This window comes from Homo sapiens, chromosome 17, assembly GCF_000001405.40.
Source record: "Homo sapiens chromosome 17, GRCh38.p14 Primary Assembly".
In the NCBI taxonomy this organism is placed as follows: Eukaryota; Metazoa; Chordata; class Mammalia; order Primates; family Hominidae; genus Homo; species Homo sapiens.
This window is the reverse complement of record NC_000017.11, coordinates 45,052,176-45,067,020: the sequence shown is the minus strand read 5'-3', so window position 1 is coordinate 45,067,020 and position 14,845 is coordinate 45,052,176. Positions and strand designations below refer to the sequence as shown.

Here is a 14,845-nt window from a genome sequence, read left to right as displayed (position 1 = left end):
CAGCTGGATGCAGGAGCTTATGCCCACAATCCCAGCAGTTTGGGAGGCCAAGGTGGCAGCATCACTTGAGGCCAGCAGTTTGAGACCAGCCTGGGCTAAATAGTGAGACCCCATCTCTACAGAAACTTTTTAAAAAGAAAATTAGCCAGGGATGATGGTGCATGTCTACAATCCTAGCTACTTGGGAGGCTGAGGTGGGAGGATCGCTTGAGCCCAGGTCAAAGGCTGCAGTAAGCCATGATCACACCACTGTACTATAGCCTGGACGACAGAGCGAGGCCCTGTTTCCAAAGTAATAACAATAATTTTAAAATTAAATTAAAAAATTTTTAAATAGAAAAACTGAAGAGACGCACCCATACACACTGCATATGTATGCATGTATACCTATATGTATACATGAAGGGTTTGGGTTTTTTTGTTTTTATTTATAGAGATGGGGTCTCACCATGTTGCCCAGGCTGGTCTCGAACTCCTGAGCTCAAGTGATTTTTCTGCCTCAGCCTCCCAAAGTGCTGAGATTACAGGCATGAGCCACTACACACAACCACATGAAGTTTTATATTCACCAAATGTTTATGCTGATTTAATTACGGAGGAAACACAAGACCAGAAAAGTCAAGAACTAAATTCATATACAAAGAGACATAAGTAACTAATACAACTGGCCGGGCGTGGTGGCTCACACCTGTAATCCTAGCACTTTCGGAGGCCAAGGCAGGTGGATTGCCTGAGCTCAGGAGTTCAAGACCAGCCTGGGCAACAACGGTGAAACCCCGTCTCTACTAAAATATGAAAAATTAGCCGGGTGTGGCAGTGTGCTCCTGTAGTCCCAGCTACTCAGGAGGCTGAGGCAGGAGAATTTCTTGAACCCGGGAGGCAGAGGTTGCAGTGAGCCAAGATCGCGCCACAGCACTCCAGCCCGGGCAACAGAATCCAGTACATGAATTTAGCTCATTTTATTAGCATAGAGTACTATGACTTTAGTTCCTGAAAAAAAGGGGCAGGAGGCTGGGTGTGGTGGCTCATGCTTACAATCCCAGCACTTTGGGAGGCTAAGGCAGGAGGATCACTTGAACCCAGGAGTTTGAGACTAGTCTGAGCAACATAGCGAGACACAGTCTCTTTAAAAAAAAAAAAAGGCCCAGGAGAATAAGGGTTAGCTCGAACTATCATTAACCTTTATTATATATTACACATTTTAGACTCTCTAGCATTGAAAGGAAAACTTCTCTGTCAATTTTTACATGATTTTTGAGAACATTTTAAATAATATTAAGACAAAAAACATTTCAAGAAGCAAAACACAGTGGAAAGCACACAACAGTGGAAAGCTCCACAGCAAATTGGAGCTTCCTGGTTTCTGTAGGTATTTCTTTTTTTTTTTTTTTTTTTTTGAGACAGAGTCTGGCTCTGTCGCCCAGGCTGGAGTGCAATGGCGCAATCTCGGCTCACTGCAAGCTCCGCCTCACAGGGTCACACCATTCTCCTGCCTCAGCCTCCCGAGTAGCTGGGACTACAGGCATGCGCCACCACACCTGGCTAATTTTTTGTATTTTTATTAGAGATGGGGTTTCACTGTGTTAGCCAGGATGGTCTCGATCTCCTGACCTCATGATCCCGCCCGCCTTAGCCTCCCAAAGTGCTGGGATTACAGGTGTGAGCCACCATGCCCTGCCTCTGTAGGTATTTCATAAAAACTGTAGTGAGGCTTACAATGAGAATTATTTGGGGAGAGAAAATGTGTATGTAAGAAAAATCTGACATCCTCTCACTTGGTGAGGGGAGATGAAACTCCACTAATACTGGGCTAGGCACTTTAATATCTGCCATTCATTCATACAGCAAATACTCATTAATGCCCACTAAGTGCTAGGCATTTCGAAGACACAATCCTGTTTACATGCTCCTTACTGTCAGATGAGACAGGTACCAGACACATTAAGAAAAATTACCAAACATGTAGTTATATTTATTGTTATTATAACTATTGTTACGATAAAAGCTACAATACAGTATGTGATAAGAGCAGAGGGGCAAGCTGGGAGGTTAGGGACGATCTGAAGAAAGAGGAGGAGGGAGGAAAAGGAGTGCATTCCAGATGTTATCTCATTAATCCCTACAACTCTGAGTTAAGTACCTTTCCCAAGGTCACAGGACTGTTAAGTGTCAGAGCCAAGCTTTGAGATGAGATTTTGAGATCAGAGGCTTGCTCTGTCGCCCAGGCTGGAGTGCACTGGAGAGATCTCAGCTCAGTGCAACCTCTGCCTCCTGTTTTCAAGTGATTCTCCTGCCTCAGCCTCCTAAGTAGCTAGGATTACAGGCGCCTGCCATCATGCCCAGCTAATTTTTGTATTTTTAGTAGAGATGAGGTTTCACTATGCTGGCCAGGCTGGTCTCAAACTCCTGACCACAAGCGATCTGCCCACCTCAGCCTCCCAAAGTGCTGGGATTACAGATGTGCGCCACCGCGCCTGGCCTCAGACCAGATTTAAATTATTCCAAAGTCCATGCTTTTCTACTGTGCCGTGCTGCATTTTCCCACATTGCTGCTTCTCCCCAAAACCATTTCCTCTCAAAGTTCATGGAAAAATGTTGACTCTACCCCAGATTCTTAGTGCCAGAATTAGACTCTCTCCTCCAGACTAGGCCCTTGGTTTTTCACCTACTACCTCCAAACTCATTTTCACAGATCTTTAGATTTGGGACGCTAATAAACATAATTTTTTCACCCAGACCATAACCATGCACAGAGACACCACTGCAAACTGTCAAAGTTTTTAAGGTTATCACTTACTTCTACTACAAATAAAATAATTTTATTTATTTATTTTTTTGAGATGGAGTCTCGCTCCGTTGCCAAGCTGGTGTGCAGTGGCGCAATCTCAGCTCACTGCAACCTCCGCCTCCCGGGTTCGAGTGATTCTCCTGCCTCAGCCTCCCGAGTAGCTGGGACTACAGGTATGCACCACCATGCCCAGCTAATTTTTCTATTTTTAATAGAGACAGGGTTTCACCATGTTAGCCAGGATGGTCTCAATCTCTTGACCTCGTGATCCACCCGCCTCGGCCTCCCAGAGTGATGGGATTACAGGCATGAGCCACTGTGTGCCACTTTTTTTTCTGAGACAGGGCTTTGCTCTATTGCCCAGGCTGGAGTGCAGTGGTGCAATCTCAACTCACTGCAGCCTCCACCTCCCAGGTTCAAGTGATTCTCCTGCCTCAGTCTCCGGAGTAGCTGGGACTATAGGCGTACGCCACCATGCCCAGCTAAATTTTGTATTTTTAGTGGAGACGGGGTTTCACCATGTTGGCCATGCTGTTCTCGAACTGCTGACCTCAAGTGATCCACCTGCCTCGGCCTCCCAAAGTGCTGGGATTACAGGTGTGAGCTACCACGCCAGGCCAATAAAATAACTTTCTGGCACACAGTTTTGAAAAGTGATTCACAGATTATAGGGCACAAACCTAAGGACACTGGTCAGGACAACAGTTAAGAAGATAAAAATAAAAGCAACTACAAAAAGAGCAAAGAAAATGCCACACTTTCACTTCTGGAATGACTTTCACATTCACCAACTCTCATCTGTGATTCAGATCTCTACTCAGGAGAGCTTCACTTTCCCTTCTTCCTGTTCCTACTTCCTCTTTCTCAGCTCTTCCATTTTTAGGAATATCAAACTTCAAAAGAAGACTTTTATTACATTAGATCTGTTGTGAGTTACAGCAACAGAACAGTCTTATAAAAACTAAATTTGGCAAGCTTCCTATTCCTCTACTTTCTTCCTGTGATTTTTTTTTTTTTTTTTTTTTTTTGAGTCGGAGTCTCGCTCTGTCGCCCAGGCTGGAGTGCAGTGGCGTGATCTCAGCTCACTGCAAGCTCTGCCTCCTGGGTTCACGCCATTCTCCTGCCTTAGCCTCCCGAGTAGTTGGGACTACAGGCGCCCGCCACCACGCCCGGCTAAATTTTTTGTATTTTTAGTAGAGATGGGATTTCACAGTGTTAGCCAGGATGGTCTCGATCTCCTGACCTCGTGATCTGCCTCCCAAAGTACTGGGATTACAGGCATGAGCCACCATGCCCGGCCCTTCCTGTGATTTTTAATGCCGGCTGAAGAACATAAAAGCTAGATCTTTTAACCTAAGATTTACCACAAGCAGATTATAAACCACTTAAATACAGTCATGCTTCACTGAACGTCAGGCATATGTGCTGGGAAATGCATGGTTAGGTGATTTTTGCCTTGCCAACATTATAGGGTGTACTTACACAAATCTAGATGGTATAGCCTACTAAATGCCTAGGCTATATGGTGTACATTACAGTAACATGCTATACAGGTTTGTAGCCTAGGAGCAATAGGCTGCTGCATGTTACTGAGTACTGCAGGCAACTATAATACAATGGTAAGTATTTGTGTATCTAAGCATACCTAAACATAGAAAGGATACAATAAAAATATGTACTATAATCTTGTGGGACCATCTCTTCTACGCAGTCCTTGGTCTTTATACCTTTATATCTGCACTGCCACCAATACTGCGAATAACAAGCTGGCTACGAAAATCAGACTACCTCAGACTCAGCAAGTTATACACCCAAAAATCTCTCACGACTTTCAGTTTAAAAATATATCTACAAATATAGACAGGAAGATGGGGAGAGACAGCGTGAGTGCCAGTGCCAGGCACTAACCATGTGAAGAAAGATGAATAAGCTGTGGCTTACAGAAGTAAAAACTAATTTGGGAAAAGAATTCAACATTCAAATGCCTGGTGTGTTTCTTCATCCCTAGGAACAAATAGTAACTAATGGCAAGACCCTAAAGTACAGGATAGGCAGTATGGAGCCCGAGGATTCCAAATACTCTCCAAGAAACAACATCGCTCATTTCTTGAAGCCTGGGGCTGCTCTGCAAAGGTAACAAGGCAAAGATGTTCGAAGACTTAATTATATTAATATATCGTTCAGGATACTTATGGATTATTTGGAGCAATGGAAACTATGTAAATCAAAGCATTACCATACCGTTAATTACATAGGTTTATAAGGTGAGTTTATATTTTGGGATTCTCTGGTAGTGATATTTTACAATATAATTATACATACAGTTTGTATAGTCTGATGAGTTTCCTCACTGAGGGTGAACTGCTGCGAAATGTTTTATGATTCGTTTATTGCTAGTCACGTTGTTCAAACAACACGTCTATAAGTAACGTTCCCTTTGAACTGTACTGTTACTAGACTGTCCTGTGTTGTACCATCGAAAACCATCGTCCAACATGCTCTTTTCCCAGGAATGGCCTGAAGCACACGAGTGGAACACTGCATAGAACTTTTATATAATAAAAGTACTGAACGTCTCCGGCCCTTAATATCCAGAGCACCCACCCTTGGTAAATGACAAAGGCAATAACCAATCGCCAGGCAGAATCCTAGTGACTTAGCCAATAAGAACATGAGGGTGGGGCTAGACTAAGCTCCCGGTGACTTCCCCGCACCCCAGAGACCCAGGTTGTGGGAGGCTGGACGGGAATTGGACTCCGAGGATTTCGTTACCCCCGGTTGTAGCTGTTGTCCTCCTCATTCTCGCAATCGCTGCAGTGCTCATGGCCGTTCCCGTTCCCTTCCATCATCTGCGGCAGCGGAGGTGCCGGCGGCTTCACTGCTGTCTCACTCTCGTCCGCCATCTTGAGTTGCGAGAGCAGGGCTCCGCGCCCCACTACATGGGGGGTTCCTATTGGACAAGGGGAATTTGCGCTGCATTCTGGGTTTTGTAGTTTTTCTGGCGAAGCGAGCTGCCACTAGGAGCGACTCTTTCCCAGGAAACTGACTACAATACCCAGGAATCACGAGGGACGGCTCCGGTCGGATTAAGAGGCGGGGCCACTGATACCCGGAAGCCTAGGCATTCGGCCACGCTTTGAGGAAAGAAGGGGCGCAAGGTTGGTGGGACCGACCCTTGGGAACCGGGCGGCCGCCTGGCATGATGGGAGTTGTAGTTCGATGCTGGTTTAGGGTTTCAGGCGTGGAGGTTCCAAAATCCGAGGTTTGATTTCAGCCTGCCCTTGCCAGTGCCTGGGCCGCTGGGAGCCGTTATTGGCTGCCGTTAAGGACCGTTACGTTTCCCGGGTAAGTGAAAGGGCCTGAGGCCCGCGGGTGCTACCTGCCTGGAGCCGGAATGCCCCAGGCCTTCTTAGAGTGGGCTTTTCCGCAAGAAGCCTAGTTGACTCCTGGCCGCCTTCCTCACTCGGGAGTCTGGGCAACCTGCGGTCATTGGCAGTTCAAGGTCTCATGAGAGGCAGTGGATTTTTTTGTGCGAAGCACTGACCCTAAGCCAGGAGACCACACTGCTAGGGAGGCAGGGCTCGCCGCCTCATCTTGGCCTCCAGGTACTTATCTTCGCCAAGCTCTTTCGCGCACACGTGGTCCCTTTAATTCCCCACAAGAATTTTCCACAACGACCCTTTTTTTCTTTTCTTTTCTTTCTTTCTTTCTTTTTTCTTTTTTAAATACGGCCGCCTTCTGTCGCCCAGGCTGGAGCGCAATGGCTCAAGATCACAGCTCACTGCAATCAAGGTATCCTCCCACCTCAGCCTCCCAAGTACCTAGGACTATAGGCATGAGCCACCACACCCGGATAATTTATATATTTTTTGTAGAGACGAGGGTCTCGCCTTGTTGCCCAGGCTGGTCTCGAACTCCTGGCCTCTAAGGATCTTCCTACCCCAACCCCGCAAAGTGCTGGGATTACAGACGTGAGCCACGGCACCCAGCCCACATCAACTCTTTCTTTAATAAGTGCCAGACTCTGTAGTAAGGCATTTCGTACATTATCTCATTTAATCCTCTCAACAAGTCTACAATATAGGTCCTATTATTATTATTCAACCTTTGTTTTGTTTTGTTTTGTTTTGAGACGGAGTCTCTCTCTGACTCCCAGGCTGGAGTGCAGTGGTGCGATCTCGGCTCACTGCAACCTTCGCCTCCTGGGTTCAAGCGATTCTCTTGCCTCGGCCTCCTGAGTAGCTGGGATTAAAGGCGCACGCCACCACACCTGGCTAATTTTTGTATTTTTAGTAGAGACGGGGTTTCACCATGTTGGTCAGGCTGGTCTCGAACTCCTGACCTCGTGATCTGCCCATTTCGGCCTCCCAAAGTGCTGGGATTAGAGGTGTGAGCCACCGTACCTGGCCATATTGACCTTTTTGACAGATGAAAAAATGTGGCCCTGAGAGGTTGGTAAATTGCACAGTCACATAGCTGGTTAAGTGGCAAATCGGTATACAAATCCAGATCTGTGTGCCCCAGGCCCTCTGAATTCTTTGCCACCATAAAAGTCCCATTTTCTGATACACTATTCACTCAAGGAAATCAGTTACTAAAAGGTAACTGTGACTCCAGTGCGTATTCTATATCAGGGGAAAAAAGGTAACTGCCACATTTTAATCTGTTTTTAACCTTGATTGAATGTTTCAGTCCCTGAGTCTCACTCTTTTGATTGAGTAATCTCGCCTAAGTGCCCAAAGACATGGTTCCCATTCTTGGAAATTTCCTATTCGGGTTGAGTGTGGTGGGTGATGAGAGGACTAATTCTTACCATCAGAGTGCTCCATGGCCAAAAAGGGAAATGATCTTTGCCTTTGGGAAAGATCTCAACATGGGAAGAATGGCAGGGCGGGAAGAAACAGTTCCCATCTGACTCAGGGAAAGAAAACACAAATAAAACACAGAACTAAATATAGTCAACTCTTTCTTTCTTTTTTTTTTCTGAGACGGAGTCTCGCTCTCTTGCTCTGTCGCCCAGGCTGGATTGCAGTGGCGCGATTTTGGCTCACTGCAAGCTCTGCCTCCCGGGTTCACGCCATTCTCCTACCTCAGCCTCCCAAGTAGCTGGGACTACAGGTGCCCGCCACCTCACCCGGCTAATTTTTTGTATTTTTAGTAGAGACGGGGTTTCACCGTGTTAGCCAGGGTGGGCTCGATCTCCTGACCTCGTGATCTGCCCGCCTCGGCCTCCCAAAGTGCTGGGATTACAGGCGTGAGCCACCGCGCCCGGCCAACTCAACTCTGTTTTTATATCAATGGCATAAGCATAAGTAATTATGATCCAAAGCAGCAGATAATCCTCAGTCATTTATATTTGACTTTGGAAGGCAGTCAAAGATGCCCACTCAGTCTGAGAGCTGTCACCACACTCAACTCTCCGGGGTCTAAGACTGCTGTTCAACGCGATTGCCCTATTTGCAGCTGCAGGGAAGGGGGGGGTCAGAGGTAAGAAGAAGAATAATAAAGCCAGGCCAGGCGCTGGGGCTTATGCCAGTAATCCCAGCACTTTGGGAAGCCGAGGTGGGTGGATCACCTGAGGTCAGGAGTTCGAGACCAGCCTGGCCAACGTGGCGAAACCCCGTCTCTACTGAAAATACAAAAAAATTAGCTGGGCTTAGTGGTGGGCGCCTATAATCCCAGCTACTTGGGAGGCTGAGACGCGAGAATCTTTTGAACCTGGGAGGCGGAGGTTGCAGTAAGCCAAGATTCTGCCACTGCACTCCAGCCTGGGTGACAAAGTGGGACTCTGTCTCAAAAAAAATAAAAAGTAGGCTGGGCGTGGTGGCTCATGCCTGTAATCCCAGCACTTTGGGATTACAATAATAAAATAAAAGATAAAAAGATATTTTGTGTGTTATTTTTATTTATTATTATTTTTGAGACTGTCTCGCTCTGTCGCCTACGCTGGAGTGCAATGGCGCAATCTCGGCTTGCTGCAACCTCTGCCTCCTGGATTCAAGTGATCCTGCCACCTCAGCCTCCCCGGTAGCTGGGACTACAGGTGCGCACCCCCATGCCTGGCTAATTTTTGTACTTACAGTAGAGATGGGGTTTCACCACGTTGGCCAGGCTGGTCTTAAACTCCTGACCTCAGGTAATCCACCTGCCTTGGCCTCCCAAAGTGCTGGAATTACAGGTGTGAGCCACCACGCCCAGGCTTTTTTTTTTTTTTTTTTTTTTTTGAGACGGAATCTCACTGTCACCCAAGTTGGAGTGCAGTGGCACAATCTCGACTCATTGCAACCTCTGCCTTCCAGGTTTAAGCGATTCTCCTGCCTCAGCCTCCCAAGTAGCTGGGATTACAGGTGCCTGCCACCACGCCCAGCTAATTTTTGTACTTTTAGTAGAGACAGGGTTTCACCACGTTGGCCAGGCTGGTCTCGAACTCCTGACCTCAGGTGATCCGCCCACCTCGCTCTCCCAAAGTGCTGAGATTACAGGTGTGAGACACTGCACCTGGCCTGAATTACTGTTTTTTTTTTTTTTTTGAGATGGAGTCGCACTCTGTTGCCCAGGCTGGAGTGCAGTGGCACTATCTCGGCTCACTGCAACCTCTGCCTCCTGGATTCCAGCAGTTCTCCTGCCTCAACCTCCCGAGTAGCTGGGATTACAGGCACACACCGCCATGCCCAGCTAATTTTTTGTATTTTAGTAGAGACGGGGTTTCACCATGTTGCCCAGGCTGGTCTCCAACTCCTGAGCTCAGGCAATCCGCCTGCCTCGGCCTCCCAAAGTGCTGGGATTACAGGCATGAGCCACTGCGCCCAGCCGAGAGCTTTCCACTTTGAAACAATTTTGGTTTGTGAAAAGCTGGCCCGGTTCTGCCTTATGGAGTTATGCAGAAATATAGCTGGGTGAGGTGGCTCATGCCTGTAATCCCAACACTTTGGGAGGCTGAGATGGGTGGATCACTTGAGCCCAGGAGTGTGAGACCTGCCTGGGCAACATAGAGGACCCTGTCTCTAAAAAAAATACAAAAATTAGCGTGGCATTGTGGCATGCACCTATGGTTCTAGCTACTTGGGAGGCTGAGGTGGGAGGATCGCTGGAACCCAGGATCATGCCACTGCACTCCAGCCCGGACAACATGGCAAGGCCCCGTCTCTATATAAATAGGAAAAAAGGGCCAGGCGCAGTGGCTCACGCCTGTAATCCCAGTACTTTGGGAGGCCAAGGCGGGCAGATCATGAGGTCAGGGGATCGAGACCATCCTGGCTAACATGGTGAAACCCTGTCTCTACTGAAAATACAAAAAATTAGCCAGACGTGGTGGCGGGCGTCTGTAGTCCCAGCTACTTGGTAGGCTGAGGCAGGAGAACGGTGTAAACCAGGGAGGCGGAGCTTGCAGTGAGCGGAGATCACGCCACCGCACTCCAGCCTGGGTGACAGAGCGAGGCTCTGTCTCAAAGGAAAAAGGGCCAGGCACGGTGGCTCATGCCTATAATCCCAGCACTTTGGGAGGCCAAGGCAGGCGGATCACCTGAGGTCAGGAGTTTGAGACCAGCCTGGCCAACGTGGTGAAACCCCGTCTCTACTAAAAATACAAAATTTAGCTGGGCACAGTGGTGGACGCCTGTAATCCCAGCTACTCGGGAGGCTGAGGCAGGGAGAATTGCTTGAACCCGGGAAGTGGAGGTTGCAGTGAGCCGAGATCGCACCATTGCACTCCAACCTGGGCGACAGAGCAAGACTCTGTCTTGGGAAAAAAAAAATATATATAAAAAAGAGTGCAGGCAGAGTGTGACTCCCTGGGTTCTAAATCCTGGCTCTGCCTCTGACTTAATGAATGACCTTAGGCAAGTCACTTAACCTCTGAGCTTTGATGTCATTATCTGTAAAATAAGACTTACATAGAGAGCCCTAAAAGTGTCTAGGACAGAATTAATACCCACTTAATTAGTATTTCCCTTCCCAGGAAGTCAGCATTACTGGTATGATAACCAAAGAAAAGTTTTCTTCATGATGTCCATCACAGATCAAGGCCTTTGCTGTACTTCCAGCATGTCAGAGATAACCTTCTTTTTTTTTTTTTTTTGAGACGGAGCTTTGCTCTTTTTGCCTAGGCTGGAGTGCAATGGTGCAATCTCTCCTCACTGCAACCTCTGCCTCCTGAGTTCAAGCGATTCTCCTGCCTCAGCCTCCTGAGTAGCTGGGATTACAGGTGCGAGCCACCATGCCTGGCTAATTTTTTGTATTTTTAGTAGAGAAGGGGTTTCACCATGTTGGCCAGGCTAGTCTCAAACTCCTGACCTCAGGTGATCCCCTGCCTTGGCCTCCCAAAGTGCTGGGAGTACAGGTGTGAGCCACTGTGCCCGGCCACATATAACCTTTCTTCTGGTGGACCTACGAAGCCATGAGATAGATTGTGATTCATTTATTCCAACCTCGGGAACACTGATGACTTGTCAGCCTCTATGGCAGGAACTGGAGAGTCAGGGGTAGAACAGTTCTAGCACAGTGCCTAAGAAAGTGGGGAGCACAGGCTGTCCAGAGGCAGGAGATCCTGGGGGGACATGGTGGCTTAGCTGAATGTTCATCAGGACAGTAAACAAACTGGGGTGGACCTTCTAGGTAGAAAGTCCAGGTGCCTGAGACTTGGGTGCTTTTGAGGTATGGCAATGAGAATGATATGACTTAGGACTGGAGCTTAGAAAGTGAGGAGTGTGTGCCTGTGGTTCCAGCTATTCAGTGGGAGGCTGAGATGGGAGGATCACTTGAGCCTGGGAGGCAGAGGTCACAGTGAGCCAAGATCGTGCCACTGCACTAACCTGGGTAACAGAGTGAGACCCTGTCTCAAAAATAAATAAATAAATAAATAAATAAATAAACGTACAGAAAATAAATTTAAAACCAGGAGCCAAAGGAGTCATCTCTAATGGACTCAGGGTTGTTCATCAAACAAAATGAGAAGCAGAACTGTATTCCAGGCATCATGCTAAATGCTAAGGACACAGAGGTGACTGAGATGCAGGCCACTCTCAGGATAAAATGAGATTGTGTAAGTAGCTACAGCCAGCTCAAAGTTTCTTATTGCCATCCTGAATCATGAAAGACATATATTTGAGCTGAAAAAGCCCTTGATGGCATCACATGGAAACTCCAAAGCCCAAGTTTCATTATGGAGGAGGTGCCTGGGTTGAAGGCCCTGTAGCAGCCCTTCACCCTTTCCTATGGGATCTTCCTGGGGCAGAGGTGCAGCTGCTTTTGGCAAATCGGACCACAAGGATACCTCCTTGGAAGACAAGGCTCTCACTTGTACATGAATAGTTATAATACTGTAAGGCAGTATCTGAGAAAAGTAGGGTCATCTGGACGGTTTCCTAACACTGTGTCCCAGGAAGATCCAGATAATTTGGGGGGACAGGCCAGGCCTGTTCCTATCCCTGTCTTGGCCAGCCATGATTACTGGTGGGAGTCTGGGTATCCCTTGGATGTGTCAGGAGTAGGGAAAAGGGTGAGAACCACAGGATTAGGTTAGCTATACATTGTTTGATCAAGGAAGGGAATTGAGCCATTAAATCTGGCTCTATAAAATAGAATTAGATTTGTTCTGTATGGCCCCACGGTTTAAAACTAGGAGAGATACTGCCTAAGAAAGAACTTTCTAACTGCCAAGACTGGACTTGAAAAAATAACAACTGTCAGCCAGGTGTGGTGGCTCACACCTGTAATCCCAGCACTTTGGGAGGCTGAGGCAGGCAGATCGCCTGAGGTTGGGAGTTCGAGACCAGCATGGCCAGCATGGTGAAACCCCATCTCTACTAAAAATGTAAAAATTAGCCTGGCATGGTGGCAGGCACCTGTAATCCCAGCTACTAGGGAAGCTGAGGCAGGAGAATCACTTGAACCCGGGAGGCGGAGGTTGCAGTGAGCTGAGATCACGCCATTGTACTCCAGCCTAGGCAACAGAGCCAGACTCTGTCTCAAAAAAAAAAATAAATAAAACTGTCTTGAGTGGCAGTGAGTTCCCCAACATGGGACATGTACATGTATACATGGCAGAGATAATGTGGAAGAGATTCAAATACTGGCAGGGTGTTTGTACCAAATGGCCCTTTTGGACACAAGATGGAATCCTTTTTATTGGGTGATGGCAGTAGGTCTCCTTGACTGTTGAAGTCAGGAAGAAAGCTTTCAGGGACTCAGGTGATCTGAGAAAGATGTTAAATTACTTAATTCCTCAATATACTGAATCCCTACTGTGCAGGGCACTGGGTATTGTAGTAGTAGATAGGCAAGATTCCTACCTTAAAGGAAGTAGAGAATAGAGATACAGTTTAAGGAAAGGGAAGGGAGACAGGGTAGGTGTTAATTAAAAACTTCCTGCTGGTGAGGCACCGTGGCTCATGCCTATAATCCCAGCACTTTGGGAGGCCGAGGTGGGTGGATCACCTGAGGTCAGGAGTTTGAGACCAGCCTGGCTAACATGCCAAACCCCATCTCTACTAGAAATACAAAAATTAGCCAGATGTGCTGGGCATGGTGGCTGACGCCTGTAATCCTAGCACTTTGGGAGGCCGAGGTGGGTGGATCACCTAGGTCAGGATTTCCAGACCAGCCCGGCCAACGTGGTGAAACCCCATCTCTACTAAAAATACAAAATTAGCCGAGTGTGGTGGTACATGCCTGTAATCCTAGCTACTTGGGAGGCTGAGGCAGGAGAATCGCTTGAACCCGGGAGGTAGAGGTTGCAGTGAGCCGAGATCATGCCACTGCACTCCAGCCTGGGCAACAAGAGCAAAACTCCATCTCAAAAGCAAAACAAATTAGCTGGATGTGGTGGCGCACACCTCTAGTCCCAGCTACTCGGGAAGCTGTGGCAGGAGAATCGCTTGAACCTGGGAGGCAGAGGCTGCAGTGAGCCAAGATCCTGCCACTGCACCCCAGCCTGGGCAATAGAGCGAAACTCTGTCTCAACAAACAAACAAACAAACCAAACAAAAAAAAAACAAAAACAACTTCCTGCTATATGTGAGGCATAACTAGATAACTAGTTTTTTTTTTTTTTTTTTTTTTTTTTTAACTGGAGACAGAGTCTTGCTGTAGTCTCCCAGGCTGGAGTGCAGTGACCGGATCTTGGGCTCACTGCAACCTCCACCTCCCGGGTTCAAGCAATCCTCCTGCCTCAGCCTCCCGTGTAGCTGGGATTACAGGCATTCACCACCACGCCCGGCTAATTTTGTATTTTTAGTAGAGACGGGATTTTGCCATGTTGGCCAGGCTGGTCTCAAACTCCTGACCTCAGGTGATCCACCCGCCTTGGCCTCCCAAAGTGCTGGGATTACAGGCGTGAGCCACAGCGCCCGGCCTAGATGCTTTATTTTTTTTGAGGCAAGGTCTCGTTTTGTTGCCCAGGCTGGAGTGCAGTGGTACCATCATGGCTCTCTGCAGCCTTGACCTCCTGGGCTCAAGCCATCCTCCTGCCTCAGCCTCCCGAGTAAATGAGACCACACTGTCACCATGCCTGGCTAGTTTGTTTTTTGTTTTTTTTTTTTGTAGAGATCGGGGGTTAGTCTCACTCTTGTTTAGGCTGGTCTCGAACTCCTGGGCTCAAGTGATCCTCCCAAAGTGCTGAGATTACAGGTGTGAGCCACCGTGCCCGGCTTTTATGTATTCTTTCAACAACGCTGCACGGCTGCGATTATCCCCACTTTGAGAGGAGACAGGATGAGAGGCTGAGTGGCTTGCTAGGCTTGTATGGACAGGATGCGGGCTCTGCAATCACATGACTTTGTATGAGAGGGCAAATGGATTAACCGCTAAACATAGTTTCCTGTTGTGTAAAATGGGGATGATGATAGTATCCACCCTGCGGACTGTGCGGGCTGAGATAATCCCACAAAGTGCTCTTAGGACCTGGCAGGTGGAAAGTGCTCATGATCACCTCTGCCAAGGCTGCACAAGTAGCGAGTGGCCGAGCTTTATATCCGAAGTTAGGACCCTGCAGTTTTGCCCCTCTCCTCTCTCTCCCTCTCCTTCCCGGCTCCGGGGAAAGGAAAATTTATGGCTCCGGGT

At 47.8% G+C, this 14,845-nt stretch overlaps 2 protein-coding genes across 4 annotated transcripts in view, besides 7 other annotated features; one reads left to right on the top strand and one right to left on the bottom strand.

Moving 5' to 3' along the window:
- The window catches only part of NMT1 (N-myristoyltransferase 1), a 47,700-nt gene extending 41,996 nt beyond the window's left edge, over nt 1-5,704 (bottom strand). Inside the window, exon 1 of the mRNA NM_021079.5 lies at nt 5,561-5,704. Coding sequence (NP_066565.1) covers nt 5,561-5,691 — 131 coding nt within the window. The 5' untranslated portion in view covers nt 5,692-5,704. The remainder of the gene's footprint in view (nt 1-5,560) is intronic.
- Nucleotides 4,941-5,932: an enhancer, noted in NCBI's record as "H3K27ac hESC enhancer chr17:43138457-43139448 (GRCh37/hg19 assembly coordinates)". NCBI's record gives its function as "activates a minimal SCP1, AML or CMV promoter by ChIP-STARR-seq in primed H9 embryonic stem cells {active_cell/tissue: H9 hESC(primed)}" and the evidence as "EXISTENCE:reporter gene assay evidence [ECO:0000049][PMID:30033119]".
- Nucleotides 5,264-5,343: an enhancer, noted in NCBI's record as "active region_12272". NCBI's record gives its function as "activates an Ori minimal core promoter by ATAC-STARR-seq in GM12878 lymphoblastoid cells {active_cell/tissue: GM12878}" and the evidence as "EXISTENCE:reporter gene assay evidence [ECO:0000049][PMID:35858748]".
- Nucleotides 5,286-5,580: an enhancer, noted in NCBI's record as "tiled region #28; HepG2 Activating non-DNase unmatched - State 1:Tss, and K562 Activating DNase unmatched - State 1:Tss". NCBI's record gives its function as "activates a minimal TATA promoter and a strong SV40 promoter by Sharpr-MPRA in HepG2 and K562 cells {active_cell/tissue: HepG2 | K562}" and the evidence as "EXISTENCE:reporter gene assay evidence [ECO:0000049][PMID:27701403]".
- Nucleotides 5,434-5,793: an enhancer, noted in NCBI's record as "active region_12271". NCBI's record gives its function as "activates an Ori minimal core promoter by ATAC-STARR-seq in GM12878 lymphoblastoid cells {active_cell/tissue: GM12878}" and the evidence as "EXISTENCE:reporter gene assay evidence [ECO:0000049][PMID:35858748]".
- DCAKD (dephospho-CoA kinase domain containing) overlaps nt 5,890-14,845 on the top strand; it is a 37,794-nt gene continuing 28,838 nt past the window's right edge. The window contains exon 1 of one of the 3 annotated variants that reach the window (NM_001321326.2): nt 5,890-5,946. The gene's annotated coding sequence lies outside the window, so the exon portion shown is untranslated. 3 annotated transcript variants of the gene reach the window in all.
- Nucleotides 5,894-6,073: an enhancer, noted in NCBI's record as "active region_12270". NCBI's record gives its function as "activates an Ori minimal core promoter by ATAC-STARR-seq in GM12878 lymphoblastoid cells {active_cell/tissue: GM12878}" and the evidence as "EXISTENCE:reporter gene assay evidence [ECO:0000049][PMID:35858748]".
- Nucleotides 5,894-6,924: a biological region, named in NCBI's record as "H3K27ac hESC enhancer GRCh37_chr17:43137465-43138456".
- Nucleotides 5,933-6,924: an enhancer, noted in NCBI's record as "H3K27ac hESC enhancer chr17:43137465-43138456 (GRCh37/hg19 assembly coordinates)". NCBI's record gives its function as "activates a minimal SCP1, AML or CMV promoter by ChIP-STARR-seq in primed H9 embryonic stem cells {active_cell/tissue: H9 hESC(primed)}" and the evidence as "EXISTENCE:reporter gene assay evidence [ECO:0000049][PMID:30033119]".